The sequence below is a fragment of the Homo sapiens genome, chromosome 16 (assembly GCF_000001405.40).
Source record: "Homo sapiens chromosome 16, GRCh38.p14 Primary Assembly".
In the NCBI taxonomy this organism is placed as follows: Eukaryota; Metazoa; Chordata; class Mammalia; order Primates; family Hominidae; genus Homo; species Homo sapiens.
In genome coordinates, this window is record NC_000016.10 from 26,874,621 (window position 1) to 26,890,529 (window position 15,909).

A 15,909-nucleotide genomic window follows, 5' to 3' on the forward strand; every position below is an offset into this window, starting at 1 on the left:
AACTTGCCCAAGGTCACACATTTGGAGTCTGACATTCAAATCCAAAGAGTCTAACTCCATAACAACTCTGCTTCCTTGCATCATCCAGGAAAATAGCTGGGAGCTGCACATGCTCTGCCTCCTCGAAGTAATTTCTCCTGGCTGACCTTGACGTTTGACTTCTCAGATTTTGCTACTGTTTTTGGTGCTTTCACATTTTTCATGCTGTGCTCACAGATCTCACCTAATCTACACCACAACCTCAAGGAATTGTCATAACTCTCTTCCCATGTGCATGATGAAGGTAAAGTCCAGAGACAGCCAGTGATGTACCCAGTTACCCAGCTAATGAGCTACACACTTTGAGTCATGGGTCCCTTGCTTCTTGCATCGGGGGGGCTTTCTGACATAAGTGTGTTTCAAAAATTGCAACTGAAACCAGCCCTATTGTCCCCTAGACCTGATGTGTATGGCTTTTTGAATAAACATAGAAATTGTCCCTCCCGGTCTTAAAGCTTGAAACCTACATTTGCCTTATCTGAGTTCCTTCATCAGGAAGCTGACCCTCAGGCCTTCCAGGTAGGATCAAGGAGCTGAAACTCACCACATCACTGCATCTGGACAAGGAGATGCCAGACCCCTCACCCACCATGATTCCTGTTAGCCAACTCCTCTTCCATTCCCCGCCTCATTCCTGTTTCTCGGCATGTAATTACATTTCTCCCTGCTACATAAACCCCTAATTTTAGTCAGTTCAGAGAGACAGGTTTGAGTTTTGGCTCCCATCTCCATGGCTGACATCACTGAATAAAAAGCCTTCTTCCTTGGCAATGCTCACTGTCTTCTTACCAAAACACCAGGGGTTCAGTCTAGGCCCTGCTGCTTACCCCACAGAAAGCCAATCACTGGGGCAACAACTTGAGAAACACGATTTTCTGAAGATTTAAGACCGGTATGGTCAATTCCTACGTTTATCCAAAAGAAACCATAAACATCAGTTCTGTGGGACACTTGGGCCTATTTCAGTTTCAGCGATTGGCATTCTGTGCACCAAGCAACTGGACCTAGACTGAACCCCTGGCATTTCTGTAGCACAATCCCCAACATACAGGCATGGAGAGAGCTGGAGACGACTGTACGCGGGTACCTGGGATGGAAATTATATCATTTTAAGTTGAAATTTCTCCTCCTCCTGTATCAGAAAACCAAGCTGTGGTCCAGGAACTGATCTCTAGAGAGAACCATCTACCTAGAGCTGAAGTAAAGAGTTTCCTTATGTGTCCTGCCAAGGCCTCTTTCAGGCACTGGAGGATTTTCCTTAGAGACAGGGTCTAACTCTGTTGTCCAGGCTGAAGTGCAGTGGTATGATCATAGCTCACTGCAGCCTCAAACTTCTGGGCTCAAGCCATCCTCTTGAGTAACTGGGACTATAGGCATGTGTCACCATGTCTGGTTTTGGATTTTGTTTGTTTGTTTGTTTTTGTTGTTGTTGCTTTTTGCTTTTTGGTTTTTGTTGCTTTTTGCTTTTTGGTAGAGGGTCTCGCTTGGTTTCTCAGGCTGCTCTCAAACTCCTGTCCTGAAGTGATCCTTGTGCTTCAGCCTCCAAAGAGTGCTGGGATTACAGACGTGAGCCACCATGCCTGGCCTTTGTGTTTTTTTATTCCTAAAGATTCCTTTTGCCCCAGAATAATTTCTCCACTCACGAAGCATTTGGGCTGCCAATGTCCAGTATCACAGAAGGAATGTCACAGCTCTGAATCTCTGAACACAAAGACTTCTAAGTCAAAAGACCTTGATGACCCTAAATGGAGACACAGGAAGGTAAGCATTCCCTAGAATCTGCCCTCAAAAACATAGAAAGGCACATTCTCCAGAATAAATAAGCATTGCTCAGGCTTAGGGGAAGGAAGAGAATTGGAGGACAGGAGAGTTTGAGTTTGCTAAGTCAATAAGAAGAGAGGCTGTGTGCCCTCCTCCTAAGGCCAAGTTCAGGGTAGGAGCTGGAGGAGTTGCAGAACCCCAAGATATCTTTGGGGGCTTAAAAGTAGAGAAGACCTGTGTTCTCTATCCCAGGACTAAAGCCTCTGAATGCAGCAAGACCCTAGATCCCCCTGCACTAAGCCAGAGTGGGAGCGGAAAAGCCAGGTGTATGCAGTCTGTGAAGATGCCCCCGTGACAGGCTCACAGAGTTGGCCTTGGACCCTGCATCTAATGAGAACCACAGAATGTTTCCACGGGCACTGGAAGGAGAGACGATGTGAATGAACTAAAGGAGTACTGCAACTGGGCAGTAAGGAAGACAGCAGTGACCTATATGGATGGAAGACAAGACCCGAAGAGATCCCACGTATCAGAGGAGAGACCAACAGAGACAGATGATGACACTGAGACCAAATGTTCCTTCCTCCTCCCAACTCACTGACCCCTGCTGAAGTCTCCAAACTTAGACATGAGCCTAGGCAAAGGGAGACCCCCAAACTGACTGATGTTTGGTGTCCACCAGCTGAGTCAAGCATATTACATAATATTTTAAAATTCTACTTCTTCCACTCCTGATATTTTAAGATGATATTTTTAACTACCATAAACCTGAGACCTCCCATTTTGCTCCCTGACACCCCAGGACCCCAGCTGCACCTCTCCCAGCCATGCCAAGAGATGCCCAGACTGAGCAGGGGCTGGATTTCTGGGGAAATTGACATTCTCACTGAAAGTGACATTCTTATGCTTCCCAGCATTATGTGTCTGCCTGCAACAATAATAGATGGCTCTATCGAAGCAGGCGGCAGAATGACCGGGCCTGGGAGGATCCTGGCGGAGGGGCTCTCTACAGCAGAGGTGCCACTGGCCACCTAGGCCTGCTGTAGACTGACTGCACCAGTCATGGATGGAGATGAATGGATGCCAGGCCTACGAGGTCACAGCTCTGTCCCCAGATGGGTCCCTCTGGTCCCTTTCTCCTCTTCCATAGACCCCGGGCTCTTGCCTGGACCTTAAGGAGAGTGCTGCCTTTCTCAGACCCTCTCTCAGCTTGGGATCCTTCAGTAGGATCCAGTGTCCTCTGTTTCTCTCCTGGCCACCTCCAAAGACAAACCCACTGGCCTTGTCCCTAATTTAAGGGCTCTATGCGTGATCCTTGGGGACAAATGGGGAACAATGCAGCCACAGTGAAGAAAAGAGAGACACAATTATTATCATTATTATAATAATGGTTAATGTTTTTAGTGTGTGAGGCACTCCAGATCATGGGCCAGGTGCTCTACCTGTGTGGTTTCCTTTAACCCTCACTACAGCCCTAGGAGGTAGGCACTATTATTGGCCATAGTTTCTAGATGAAGACATTGAGGCTCAGAAAGGCAGGATCCCATGGTTCATATGTGGTGAAAATAGCATTACTGGGGCCCAGGTTTTTCTGACTCCCCAGCCCATAAACTTAACCACTATACTACATAGAAGGGCTCCAGATGCAGCCGGGGGCGGTGGCTCACCCCTGTAATCCCAGCACTTTGGGAGGTCAAGGAGGGTGGATCATGAGGTTAGGAGTTCAAGACCAGCTAGGCCAACATGATGAAACCCCATCTCTACTAAAAATACAAAAGTTAGCCAAGCATGGTGGTGTGTGCCTGTAATCCCAGCTTCTCAGGAGGCTAAGGCAGGAGGGAGGTGGAGGTTGCAGTGACCTGAGGTCGTGCTGCTGCACTCCAACCTTGGAGACAGAGCTAGACTGCATCTAGAGAAAAAAAAAAGGCTGCAGATGCAGTTCTGTAGGGCTTAGCTTGGAAACACAACCACCTGGCTTGTGACAGCAAAAATGATTCTATATCCCACTGGTGAAGCTACCTCTTCCCAGGGACAAGTTAAGGGATGCAACAAAGCTGTCTCTGAAGACTGTAGGAATCTGTATCTATGGCTAAAAGAATCTGGGAACAGTTGTGCTTGGCAAGCTATTCTTCTCTGCCTATGTGTCCCAGCTGCCAAGATGTCTAAATGAACACCAGGAGCCCAGCTATCCATCAGGCTGTCTCCTCTAAGCTACTAGAAGACTGTGCAGATGTTTGCCTGGATTTAGGGTTAATGATAGCAACATCACTCACCTGGCTTTTATATGCTTACAAAATTATAGGACCAAATATTCTCCACATCTTTCTAAGTGCTTTGCATGAAAGAGATTTATGTCATAGCAGGAGAGAGGTAGGAGCTGATCCCCAAAACAGATTACCAGGAAGCATTTTCTTGAGATAGAACTTGAAGAAGTTAGATCACTGTTCTGTAGGGAACAGTTGGGACAGAGGCTGGTTCTAACCCAGAAAAAAAATTAACCAGGTTGTAGGACTGTTGATGTCCCATCCATCATTTTAAAGTTAATGATAAGACTGAAATCTGAGGCACCAAGCATTTTAACTCTTTCAGGTGAAAATCACAGAAGCCCAACTCGAACTGGCCAAAACAAACTAACAAAAACAAAAATAAGAAAAAAAGAAGGAAGGGAGTAGGTGAGGAAGTAGACTTATCCGCTCATGTAATTGAAAGGCCCATATGTATTTCAGGTGCGGCTGGGTCTAAGAGTTTTAACAATGTCATCAGAAATCGATACCCTCATCCCTCACTTCTTTTTCTCTTGTGCTGTTGCCACTGTCTCCAGAATCTACTCTCATGATAGCAGGGTAGCAAGCAAAATCTCTAGACTCATATCCTCCCAGCTCAGCAACCATCATGGAAAGAGTGTTTCTCTTTCCCAGTAGCTTCTGCAAAAGTTCCAGGACCAATTCATTGGTACAGTTTGGATCACGCACTAATCCCTGAAGCTACGAGTTCCCATGACTCAAAGTGGCCAGCTCTGGGTCTTGGGTTCAATTCTGGAGCCAGAGTGAGGTATTTCCAATAAATGACAGAAAGTGAGTGAGAAATTTGGGATGATTTTTGTGTAGAAAGAAGAGTAGATAATCTACCAGGTGGTCTACTCCACTAAGGACAAGTTGGAGAACCAGGATGGACTGAGGATCTCTCTAATCCAGGAGCTGTACTACATGGTAGCCTGCAGAGCTTCCTAGCATCCTCATGAAGTAGCTTTGATCCTCCCAATATTTTTGCTGTCATTGAGGAAACTGAGGATCCAAGAAGGAGAATAGTTTGATCCGTGAAACATGGGCTTAAGTTCAAACTCACACTGGCTGATTCCACCAAGAGGGCTTCATCCTCCATGCTGTATCCTAAGCTGGAAAGACAATCGAGAATCTAATTTTAAAAGGGTCCCAGCTCCAGAAGAAACACTATTTGGTTGGATCACTGCACACAGATTACTATTCTCTGAGTTTTAGTTTCCACAGCTGTAAGATGAGAATGCTGTCCTAAATTCGTGGTGTTAACAGGTAGCAGAGGAATCTAGTGGTGACACAGTTTTCAGAAACCTGAAAGATATTCTCTCAGCCAACACGATCACACCAAATGTAACTTACTGCTTCCTCTGGATCCAACAGCCATGGAATTATCCATCAATGGCCTTGGTCATTCAGTTTAGTAATCACAATGATGGTAACTCAGTGTGGCCCCAGTGCTTTGGGTACATGATCCCATTTAATCTTTTCTTTTTTTCTTTCTAATTATACAACCTTCCAAACTTACAAAATGTAACATGTCAGACACATATATATACTCTTTTCCAAGATTAAACAGATGTTGACATTTTACCATATTGCTTTAAAACTCTTTGTAAAGAAACAAAATGTTACAGATACTAGTAAACTCCTCCTCCTCAGTTTTCCTTATTCTTTTCTCTACTTCTCTCCTTCCCCAGAGGTAACCTCAATAATGAATGGGTCTGACTGAATCACAGTTATGTTTGTGTTAATTTTTGTACATATATAATATTATATATAAACTATATTATATATGTGTGTACATAGAAATATGCTGTCCATATACATATAATTTTGTGGATTTAAAAATTTTGTATGCAGTATTCTTTTAAAACTTGCTCTCCTCTCAAACTTATTGTTTTTCAGTTTATCTACAGTGATTCATGTGGATCTCATTCACTCATTTAAACTGCAATATCATATCCTGTTGTGCATAAACTACAATTTATTTACCATTCCCCAGTTGAGAGAATGTTGGTTGTTTTCACATTCTTGCAATTACGAACTACAACAATAACCACTCCTGTATAGTTCTCCTTGGGCACATAAGGGAGTGTTTCCAGCACAAACATTCAGAAATGGAATTGGTAGATAATCAGTGTGGATATCTTCAACTGTACTAGGTAATGCCAAATTGCTGTCCAAAGGGGCTTTACCAATTTATACTCTCATCAGAAACATAAATTTCCATTTTCCCATATCCTCACCAACGCTTGTGTTACCAGATTTATTGATTTTGTCAATCTGAAAAGTACAAAATGGTATTTCACTGCCTATATTTTGAATAGACCCAATAGTGGCATTGAGAATTTTTTTTTTTTTTTTTTTTTTTTTTGAGATGGAGTCTCGCTCTGTCACCCAGGCTGGAGTGCAGTGGCGTGATCTCGGCTCACTGCAAGCTCCGCCTCCCGGGTTCACTTCATTCTCCTGCCTCGGCCTCCCGAGTAGCTGGGACTACAGGTGCCCGCCACCACGTCCGGCTAATTTTTTGTATTTTTTTAGTAGAGACAGGATTTCACCGTGTTAGCCAAGATGGTCTCGGTCTCCTGACCTCGTGATCCATCCACCTCGGCCTCCCCAAGTGCTGGGATTACAAGCTTGAGCCACCGCGCCCGGCCGAGAATATTTTTACAGTCTGTGGGATATCAAGCTTTCCTTTCCTTTGAATTACTTTTTTATGTAGTTTGTCATTATTGGATTCTTTGTTTTTTAATGATTTGGGGAGGGTTCTTAATACATCCTAGATACGAATTCCTTAGTAATTACATGGTCTGCAAGAATCTTTCTCAGGTTTTCTGCTCCAAAGGAATAAGATGTATTTTGTCATACAAAAGTTTTCATTTAATGTAGTGATGTCTATCAGACTCTTCTTTGTGGCTCCTGGTGTATTTAAGAACCTTTTCCCCACCACCCTCATAAAAAAGTTTCTCCTAGGCTTTCTTCTGAAGGTTTTACATCATTGATTTTCACATATATAATTTGAATATATCTGGAATATATTTTTCATAAGGTATAAAGTTAAACATCTGAGGTTTTTTCTCTTCATATGGATAGCAAGTTTCCTCAGCACTAATCTTTCACTAATTTAGAATGTCATGTACCAAACTCCCTTATTAAAAGAAGTCCGTGTCTGGATGGATTTGAAACATTGCTCTATCTTTCCATTCCTGTGCTGGTACCACACTGTTTTCATTATGTGTGGCAGTTTCAGTTATTAAGTTACCATGCCTGTGCTCCAAATCCACCCTTCTGCTCTCTGCTTTGTGGTGCTGGGACCGGGACTCTGCAAACCCCATTTCTGCTTTGCAATTTGGGGTTTGGGTTAGGTTTAGAACTGAGGATAGGATTAAGGTTAGGTTGAGGTTAGGGCCCCTGTTAGGCTTTGCCAATAGTGGGCTCTCAAAAGAGATGGAAAGGCTTGGGGGAGAGGAATAAGGACTTGCTCCTTCTTATCTGGTTATAATCCCTATGTGTCTCACTCCACCCTCACATCTTCATCCAGGGAGCACCCGTCTATCATGGCTCAGTAGTTCAACCAGTTGGCAGTTTTCCCAACAGTTGCATAGCCGGCTTCATTATGTCGCCCTCGGAGACTCCACTTGCCAGCTCAGCAATCTCAGAACTCAACACCCTTGTGAGCCCCCACTTCAAAACTCAGTCGCAGTCATGCAGACTCTCCCCTGAGCATTGACTTTTAACAATCCCAGCCACTCTCCTTTCCTCCTCAGTCCCAGAGTTAGTAGACGATGTCTGTCATTACTGCCTCTGTGATCTCGTTGTGTCTTTTTTCACCCTTTATTTACATACTCAACATTTTTATACCCAGTTTGCAGTTCCTTATATTAAATCCTCTCTGTTAAAACAACTGGTGTGGTCTGTCTCTCCTGACTATGCCCTGACTATAGCAGCTTTACAGTAATCTTGACACCTAAGAAGGAAATGTTCTGTCTTTATTTGTCTTCTTCGGAATTGCCTTGGAACTTCTTGGCCCTTACTTTCCCAAATGAATCTCATAGACCCTCCTATCAAGTTCCGCCAAAATAACAACAACAACAGCAATAATAATAGTAAGGATTTGGGCATTTGTATAGCAATTGCATAAAGATATAGATGAATATAACTAACACAGGAACAGAAAACCAAATACCACATGCTCTCACTCATAAGTGGGTGTTGAACAATGAGAACACATTGACTCAGGGAGGGGAACATCACACACCAGTGCCTGTTGGGGGTGGGGGACAAAAGGAGGGAGAGCATTAGGACAAATACCTAATGCATGTGGGGCTTAAAACCTAGATGACAAGTTGATAGGTGCAGCAAACCACCATAGCAAATGCATACCTATGTAACAAACCTGCACGATCAGCACATGTATCCCAGAACTTAGAGTAAAATAAAATTTTTTTAAAAATGTATAGATGAATATATAGAAAATTGCCATCTTAACCGAGATTTTCCTAATGTATGCAACCAACATGAGTTCCCCATTTCAGTGGGTCTTTTCATATGTTTTTCAGTAGGCTGTTATATTTTTCTCCATAAAGTTTAAGCATGTCTCCTGCTAAATAGATCTCTAATGAACTTATAGTTTTTATTACAATGATATTTTTATTGTCTTTATTGTTTTTAATTGTCTTTATTGTTTTTAATTGTTTCTAGCTGGTGTTTAAGAGCCTAATTGATTTTTTTCCTGTACATTGATCATGTATGCAGCAACTTGTTGGACTCATATTTATTATTAATATGGCTGTATACTCTGTAGAATTTTCTATGAAGTTATAGGAACTATGAATAGGGACAGCTTTGTTTCTTCCTTTGCAGTTGTTACACCTGTTATTTCTTTGCGTGTACAGGTGCAGGCACCTGGGCCTGTGGCGTATTACACTGTCATTGTGACTTTAGTTCAATATTGAATAGTAGTATTTCCTTTTCTGTCCAAGATGGAAAAACAGAAACTGGGCTTAACTTCTCCCTTGAAACATCTACAAAAATCATTTCATAATTATGATATTTTAAAATAATTCAAAATTTAAAAAATTATGAAACAATGGTTCTCAAAACATCGGACATTAGGCAAAGAACAATGATGTCTGAGATAAGACGAAACGAGGTGAGCACCGGAATCACTCCAGCTTCCTGCCCAGAGACGGTTCCAAGCTGAAGCACACAAAGGTGACCCAGGCAGAGTGAGTGGCCTTGGTGAATTAAAGAGATGGGGTCTGAGAGTCCAGAAATGCCAGGGTGGCTGGAATTATCCGGACAAGATACCAGAGAAGAGAAAGCTAACCAGAAAGAGAGATATCCAGAGATAGGCATAGGTCCTGAGTGAGTCTTCAGGTAGGTACTGATCAGCTCAGGAATGTGAGAAAACTCCATGAGGTTAAGTAAAGAATCATTGTTAGGGATTACAGGGTACTGGCTGGGCATGGTGGCTCATGCCTGTAATCCCAGCACTTTGGGAAGCTGAGGTGGGAAGACTCAGGAGTTCAAGACCAGACTGGACAACATAGCAAGATCCATTTCAACAAAAATAAACATAAAAATAAATTAACCAGATGTGGTGGCACGTGCTTATAGTCTCAACTATTCAGGAGGCTGAGGTGGAAGAATCATTTGAGTCCAGGAGTTTGATGCTGCAGTGAGCTATGATGGTGCCACTGCCCCCCAGCCTGGGCAACAGAGCAAGACCCTGTCTAAAAAAAAAAAAAGATTATATGGTACAATACTTAAGAATCACATAAGGCCAGGACATACTGACTGTTTCCCACCAGTCATTATGGGAAAACCTCATTATTCACAGAACACTGGACAATGTAATAAAAGGGTTTGCCACAGCGGGGAGGCAATATTAACCTCGAGTAAGTGTGCTCTGGCCTCACCCAACAAAACTTCAATGTGAGACCCAAACAGGTTTCAAGTAATGCAATCACATCCAAGAACAAAGTTCGAGAAAAAAATATATGTCTAGCACACAGCAAAATAAAATTCAAAACCAAAATTGACATTCAATCAAAAATTACCAAGCATCAAAAACACAAGAAAATATAGCCCATAAGTAGGAAAACAATCAATCAAAACTGATACAGAATAGACCCAGTTGATAGAATTAGGAAATAGAAGCCAGAGAAAACTTTGAAGATGTTACTTAGAGACACGGAAAAAATAAAAGACATAAAATCAACTTCTGGAAATGAAAACTAAAATGTCTCAGATGAGAAATACACAGAATGGGATGAATTCACAACAGATAAGATGTGGCAGAAGAAAAGATCAGTGAAATGGAAAACATGGCCATTGAAACTACCCAAAATGAAACACAAAGATCTGAAAATGAGCAGAGCATCAGTAAGCTGTAAGACAACTTTAAGTTCCCTGATGTATGTGAAACTGGAATGAAAAATATTTGAAGAAATTATGGCTGAATTTTAAAATGTATAAACTATTTGAATAAAAATGTTTACCAAAGAAGATATACAAATGACCATAAACACACAAAAAGATGCTTAATTAACAATTAAAGGAAATCAAATTTAAATCATGAGATACTACTTCACATGCACCAAATGGAAACAATTTCAAAAAGACAAATAATAGCAAGTATTGGCAAGCATATGAAGAAACTGGAACCCTTAAACATTGCTGATGGGAATAAATCATGATACAGCCACTATAGAAGAAAGTTTGTTGGGTCCTCAAACATTTAAACATAAATTTAATATAAGACCCATATTTTCCCTCTTTGGTATCTACCAAAGGGAAACAAATGAATCTGGCAGGACAAAACTTATTCACAAATGTTCATAGCAGCATTATTCGTAACAATTAAAAACTTGAAACAACCCAAATGTCCATCAACTAATGAATGGATACCATTCAGAAATAAAAGAGAATGAACTACTTACTGATGCATGCAACAACAGGGATGAACCTCAAAATCACTGGGCTAAGTGAAAGTGTCAAGATTACCTACTGGATGACTCCGTTTATATGAAATGTCCAGAAAAAGGCAAATCCAGAGAATCAGAAAGCAGATCAGTTGCCTGCAGCTAGAGATAGAAATAGGAAGTAACTAAATGGATGTACAGAAATTTTTACTGGGTGATGGAATATTCTAAACTTGAGCTGTTGTGATTATTGCACAATCCTATGAATTTGAAAAAAAAATCAATTGTTCACTAAGAATGGGTGAATTTTATAATACTAAATATAAATTATATATACATATACATTTTATGGTATATGTGCCTCAAGAAAGCTGCTTAAACAAGAGATTGTTAACACAATGAAAAGAAAAGATGCAGATAAAATATTAGCCAATTATACAGCTGATGTTTTGTGAGGCTTTTTTTAGATGAGGTCTAGCCCTGTCACCCAGGCTGGAGGGCAGTGGTGCAATCATAGCTCACTGCAGCCTTGAACTTCTGGGCTTCAGAGATCTTCTTGCCTCCACCTCTCAAGTAGCTGGAACTACAGATAAATGCCACCATGCCTGGCAATATATGCATTTTTGTTTTTAGGGACAAGGTCTTGCTGTGTTGCCCAGGCTGATCTTGAACTCCTGGCCTCAAGTCATTCTCCTGCCTCAGCCTCCCACATAGCTGGGATTACAGGTGCAAGCCACCACATCTGGCATATATTTGATTTTTTAAAGGATTTTTACCCAGAATGTATACAGTAGTTCCCCCTTATCTGAGATTTCAATTTCGACAGTATCAGTTACCCACAGTCAACTTTAGTCCAAAAATATTAAATGAAAAATTCCAGAAATAAGCAATTCATAGGTTTCCAATTGAATGCCATTTTGAGCAATATGATAAAATATTAAGTCATATGGCTCTGTCCAGCTCGGGACATACATCATTTCTTTGTCCAGTGTATCTACCCCGTAGACACTATTTGCCAGTTAGTCACTTAGTAGCCATCTCAGTTATCAGATCAAAAAAACATAGCATATATAGGTTTGCTTCTATCCACTGCTTCCAAGTTCCAAGGCCTCCACTGGGGGTCTTGGAACTTATCATCCTCCTGAGGTAAGGAAAAGATGCTATAATAATAATTTAAAAAACTAATATTAGACAAAAGATTTTAACAGACACTTTAACAAAGAATAAATGCAGCTGGCAAAATAAGTACATGAAAAGATGATCAACATCATTACCCATTAGGGAAATGCACAAGAAAACTACAATGAACCTGGGAGGCGGCAGTTGCAGTGAGCCGAGATCGCGTGACTGCACTCCAGCCTGGGTGATAGAGCGAGACTCCATCAAAAAAAAAAGAAAGAAAGAAAGAGAGAGAGAGAGAGAGAGAGAGAGAGAGAAAGAGAAAGGGAGAAAGAGAAAGGAAGAAAGAAAGAAGGAAAGAAAGAAAGAAAAGAAAGAGAGAGAAAGAAAGAAAGAAAAGAAAGAGAGAGAAAGAAAGAAAGAGAAAGAAAGAAAGAAAGAAAAGAAAGAAAGAAAGAAGGAAAGAAAGAAAGAAAAGAAAGAGAAAGAAAGAAAGAAAGAAAGAAAGAAAGAAAGAAAGAAAGAAAGAAAGAAAGAAAACACAATGAGTTACCACTACATACCTATTAGAATGTCTAAAATATTATAACCTGACCACATTATGTGTTGGCAAGGACATGGTGCCACTGAAATCTTGTACACTGCTAGTGGAAATGTGAAATGGTTCCAAGACATTTGGAAAATTAGCTTGGCAGTTCATAAAGGGTCAAACATACACCTATCTTATGATCCTGCCACTTCACTCCTAAGTATTTATGCAAAAGAAATGAAAGTGTAAGTCTAGACAAGACCTCGTATGCCCACGTTCACAGCAGCTTTATTTAAAGTAGCCAAAAACAGGGAGCAACCCAAATGTCTATCAACAGATAATGGATAAACAAAAGGTGGTATATCCATACAAGGGAATACTACTTTGCAGCAATAAAAAGGAGTGAATTACTGACATATAACACAAATAAATCTTAAAGTAGTTACTTAGAATAAACTAAGGCAGATGCAAAAGATACATATTGTATTATTTGATTACCATTAAATTCTGAAAAAGGAATACTAATCTATTGCAACAGAAAGCAGATTAGTGATTGTCTAGGGACAGGAGGCTGTGTCAGACAAGGAGGCACAGGAGGGAAGATTACCAAAGGCACAAGGATTTTCTCTTTCTGAGTTGTTTCACTTACGATAATGGCCTTCAGTTTCATCCATGTTGATGCAAAATTATGCAATGAATGCATAGTTTCATTCCTTGTTATGATTGAATAGTATTCCATTGTGTATATATACCACATATTCTTTATCCAATCACCTGCTTATGAACACTTATTGCTTGTGTTGATTCCTGTCTTTGCTATTGTGAATAGTGCTGTGATAGACATACTAGTGCAGTTATCTCTTTGATAGAGTGATTTATTTTCCTTTGGCTAGATGCCAATACTGGGATTGCTGGATCCAATGGTAGTTGTATTTTTAGTTCTTTGAGAAATCTCCATACTGCTTTTCATGGAGATTGTACTAATTTTATATTCCTATCAATAGTATGTAAGTCTTCCCTTTTCTACGCACTCTGCGTACACATGGACGTAGAGTTTAGAATGATTGACATTGGGGACTGGGAGGATTGGAGGGTGGGAGGGGAGTAGGTAACAAGAAATTACTTAATGGGCACAATGTACATTATTCCAGTGATACATACATTAAACACCCAGTCTTCACCACTAGGTAATACATCCATGTAAAAAAAAAATGTACCCTTACATTTATACAAATAAAAAGCAAAACAAAACAAAACCCACAAAGAACATGAGAAAACCATTGGGGGTAATGGACATATTCACAATCTTGATTATGGTGATAGTTTCATGGGTATATACACTTGTCAAAACTTATCAAATTGTACAAATTATGTGCTATTTATTAAATATCAATTATACCTCAAAGAAGTTATTTCATAAAATAGCAAAAATAATGGGAGAGAGGCAGAAGTGGAGATATGCTTGTGTTGTCACCAACTCTAAAGAAAATGCTGCTTAAATTTCACCATTATCTATGGTTGCTCTTGGATTTTACTAGATGCCTTTGGATGCAAAATATTACATCTCATACTCTTTTTGTTAAAATTCTTTCTGCCCATCATTTTGTCCTTATCGGGTGTTTTTAAGTAGTTTGGTCTACTCTATTCTCTTGTTGCAAAGTAAGGGATTTCCAGTGCTTAACCTTGAAACAGAAAAGCTTTTTAACTGCTATCGAGAGAAATTTCAGGAAGAAGAAAATGTTTCTTCTATCCCCCAAGAGCTGCAGAAAAAGCAGACAGTATACCTGCATCATAAGCTACTTCAAAGGCAAGATGGTGAGAATATTAACAAATTCATCAGTTTTACTTTCCTATTGGGTGTGAAGAATGCTGTGTAAATATATAATCCTGCTCTGCTTCCTGTTACTGTGAAACTGTGCATGGGAATAGTCACACAAAGGAATCTATTAAGTCATCAGATATTGCCCGTGAAATACAACCTATACCCTAAAATGCCTTCAATTCTAAGCAACTGTTCTGACTTCATAATTCGTTGCACTAGTAGTAAAATTGAAATTGACATCTCTGTTTGCTGAACAGTGCAAATCTTAGGAATTTTCCACGAGAAGCAAAAGGAAGGCTTGGGAATTTCCTTCTTCATGCATAGAAGCATAGAAATGTAATAAATTCCATGACTGTTGATTTCCTCATTCAACTTAAGCATTTGAGAGTTTTTCTCATTAAAGTAGCAGTACTCCAGCAGGTTAAGGAACTTTGTTCTGTTTCAACTCACTAAAAGATTTCTTCTTAATCATGAATATTTCTTGATTTTTATACATTTCGCTGGAGAGTTTATTGAGAGAATCACATGGCTTTCTGTGTTTAATCTCTTAATATAGTAAACTATATTAACTAGATATATTTTTAATTTTTTACTGTTTCTTTTTTTATGAAAAGCTTTTGGAGTACAAGTAGCTTTTGGTTACATGGATAAATTATATACTAGTGAATTTTGAGATTTTAGAGCACCTGTCATCCAAGTATTGTACATTGTACCTAACGTGTAGTTTTTTTTTTCCCTAATCCCCCTTCCACCCTCCTCTTTCTGAGTCTGGAAAGTCTATTATGTCATCTTATGCCTTTGCATACGCATAGCTTAGCTCCCACTTATAAGTGAGAACATATGGTTTTGATTTTCCACTCCTGTGTTACTTCTCTTAGAATAATGCCCTCCAGCTCCATCTAAGTTGCTGCAAAGGCCATTATTTCATTCATTTTAATGTCTGAGTAGTATTCCATGGTGTATATAGACCACATTTTCTTTATCTACTTATTAGTCAATGGGCACTTAAGTTGGTTCCACATCTTTGCAATTGCAAATTGTGTTCCTATAAACATACATGTGCAAGTGTCTTTTGCATATAGTGACTTATTTTCCTTTGGGTAGACTGTCCGTAGTGGGATTGCTGGATCGAACTGTATATCTACTTTCTCCTCTTTAAGGAATCTCCATACTGTTTTCCATAGAGGTTGTACTAATTTACATTCCTCCAGCAATGTAAAAGTGTTCCCTTTTCCCCTCATTCACACCAACACCTACTATTTTTTGACTTTTTAATAATGAACTTCCTTGCTGGAGTAAGGTGGTATCTCATTGTGGTTTTAATTTGCATTTCCCAGATTAGTGATGTTGAGTGTTTTTTCGTATATTTGCATATCTTCTTTTGAGAAATGCCTATTCATGTCATTTGCCCACTTTTTAATGGGATTACTTGCGTTT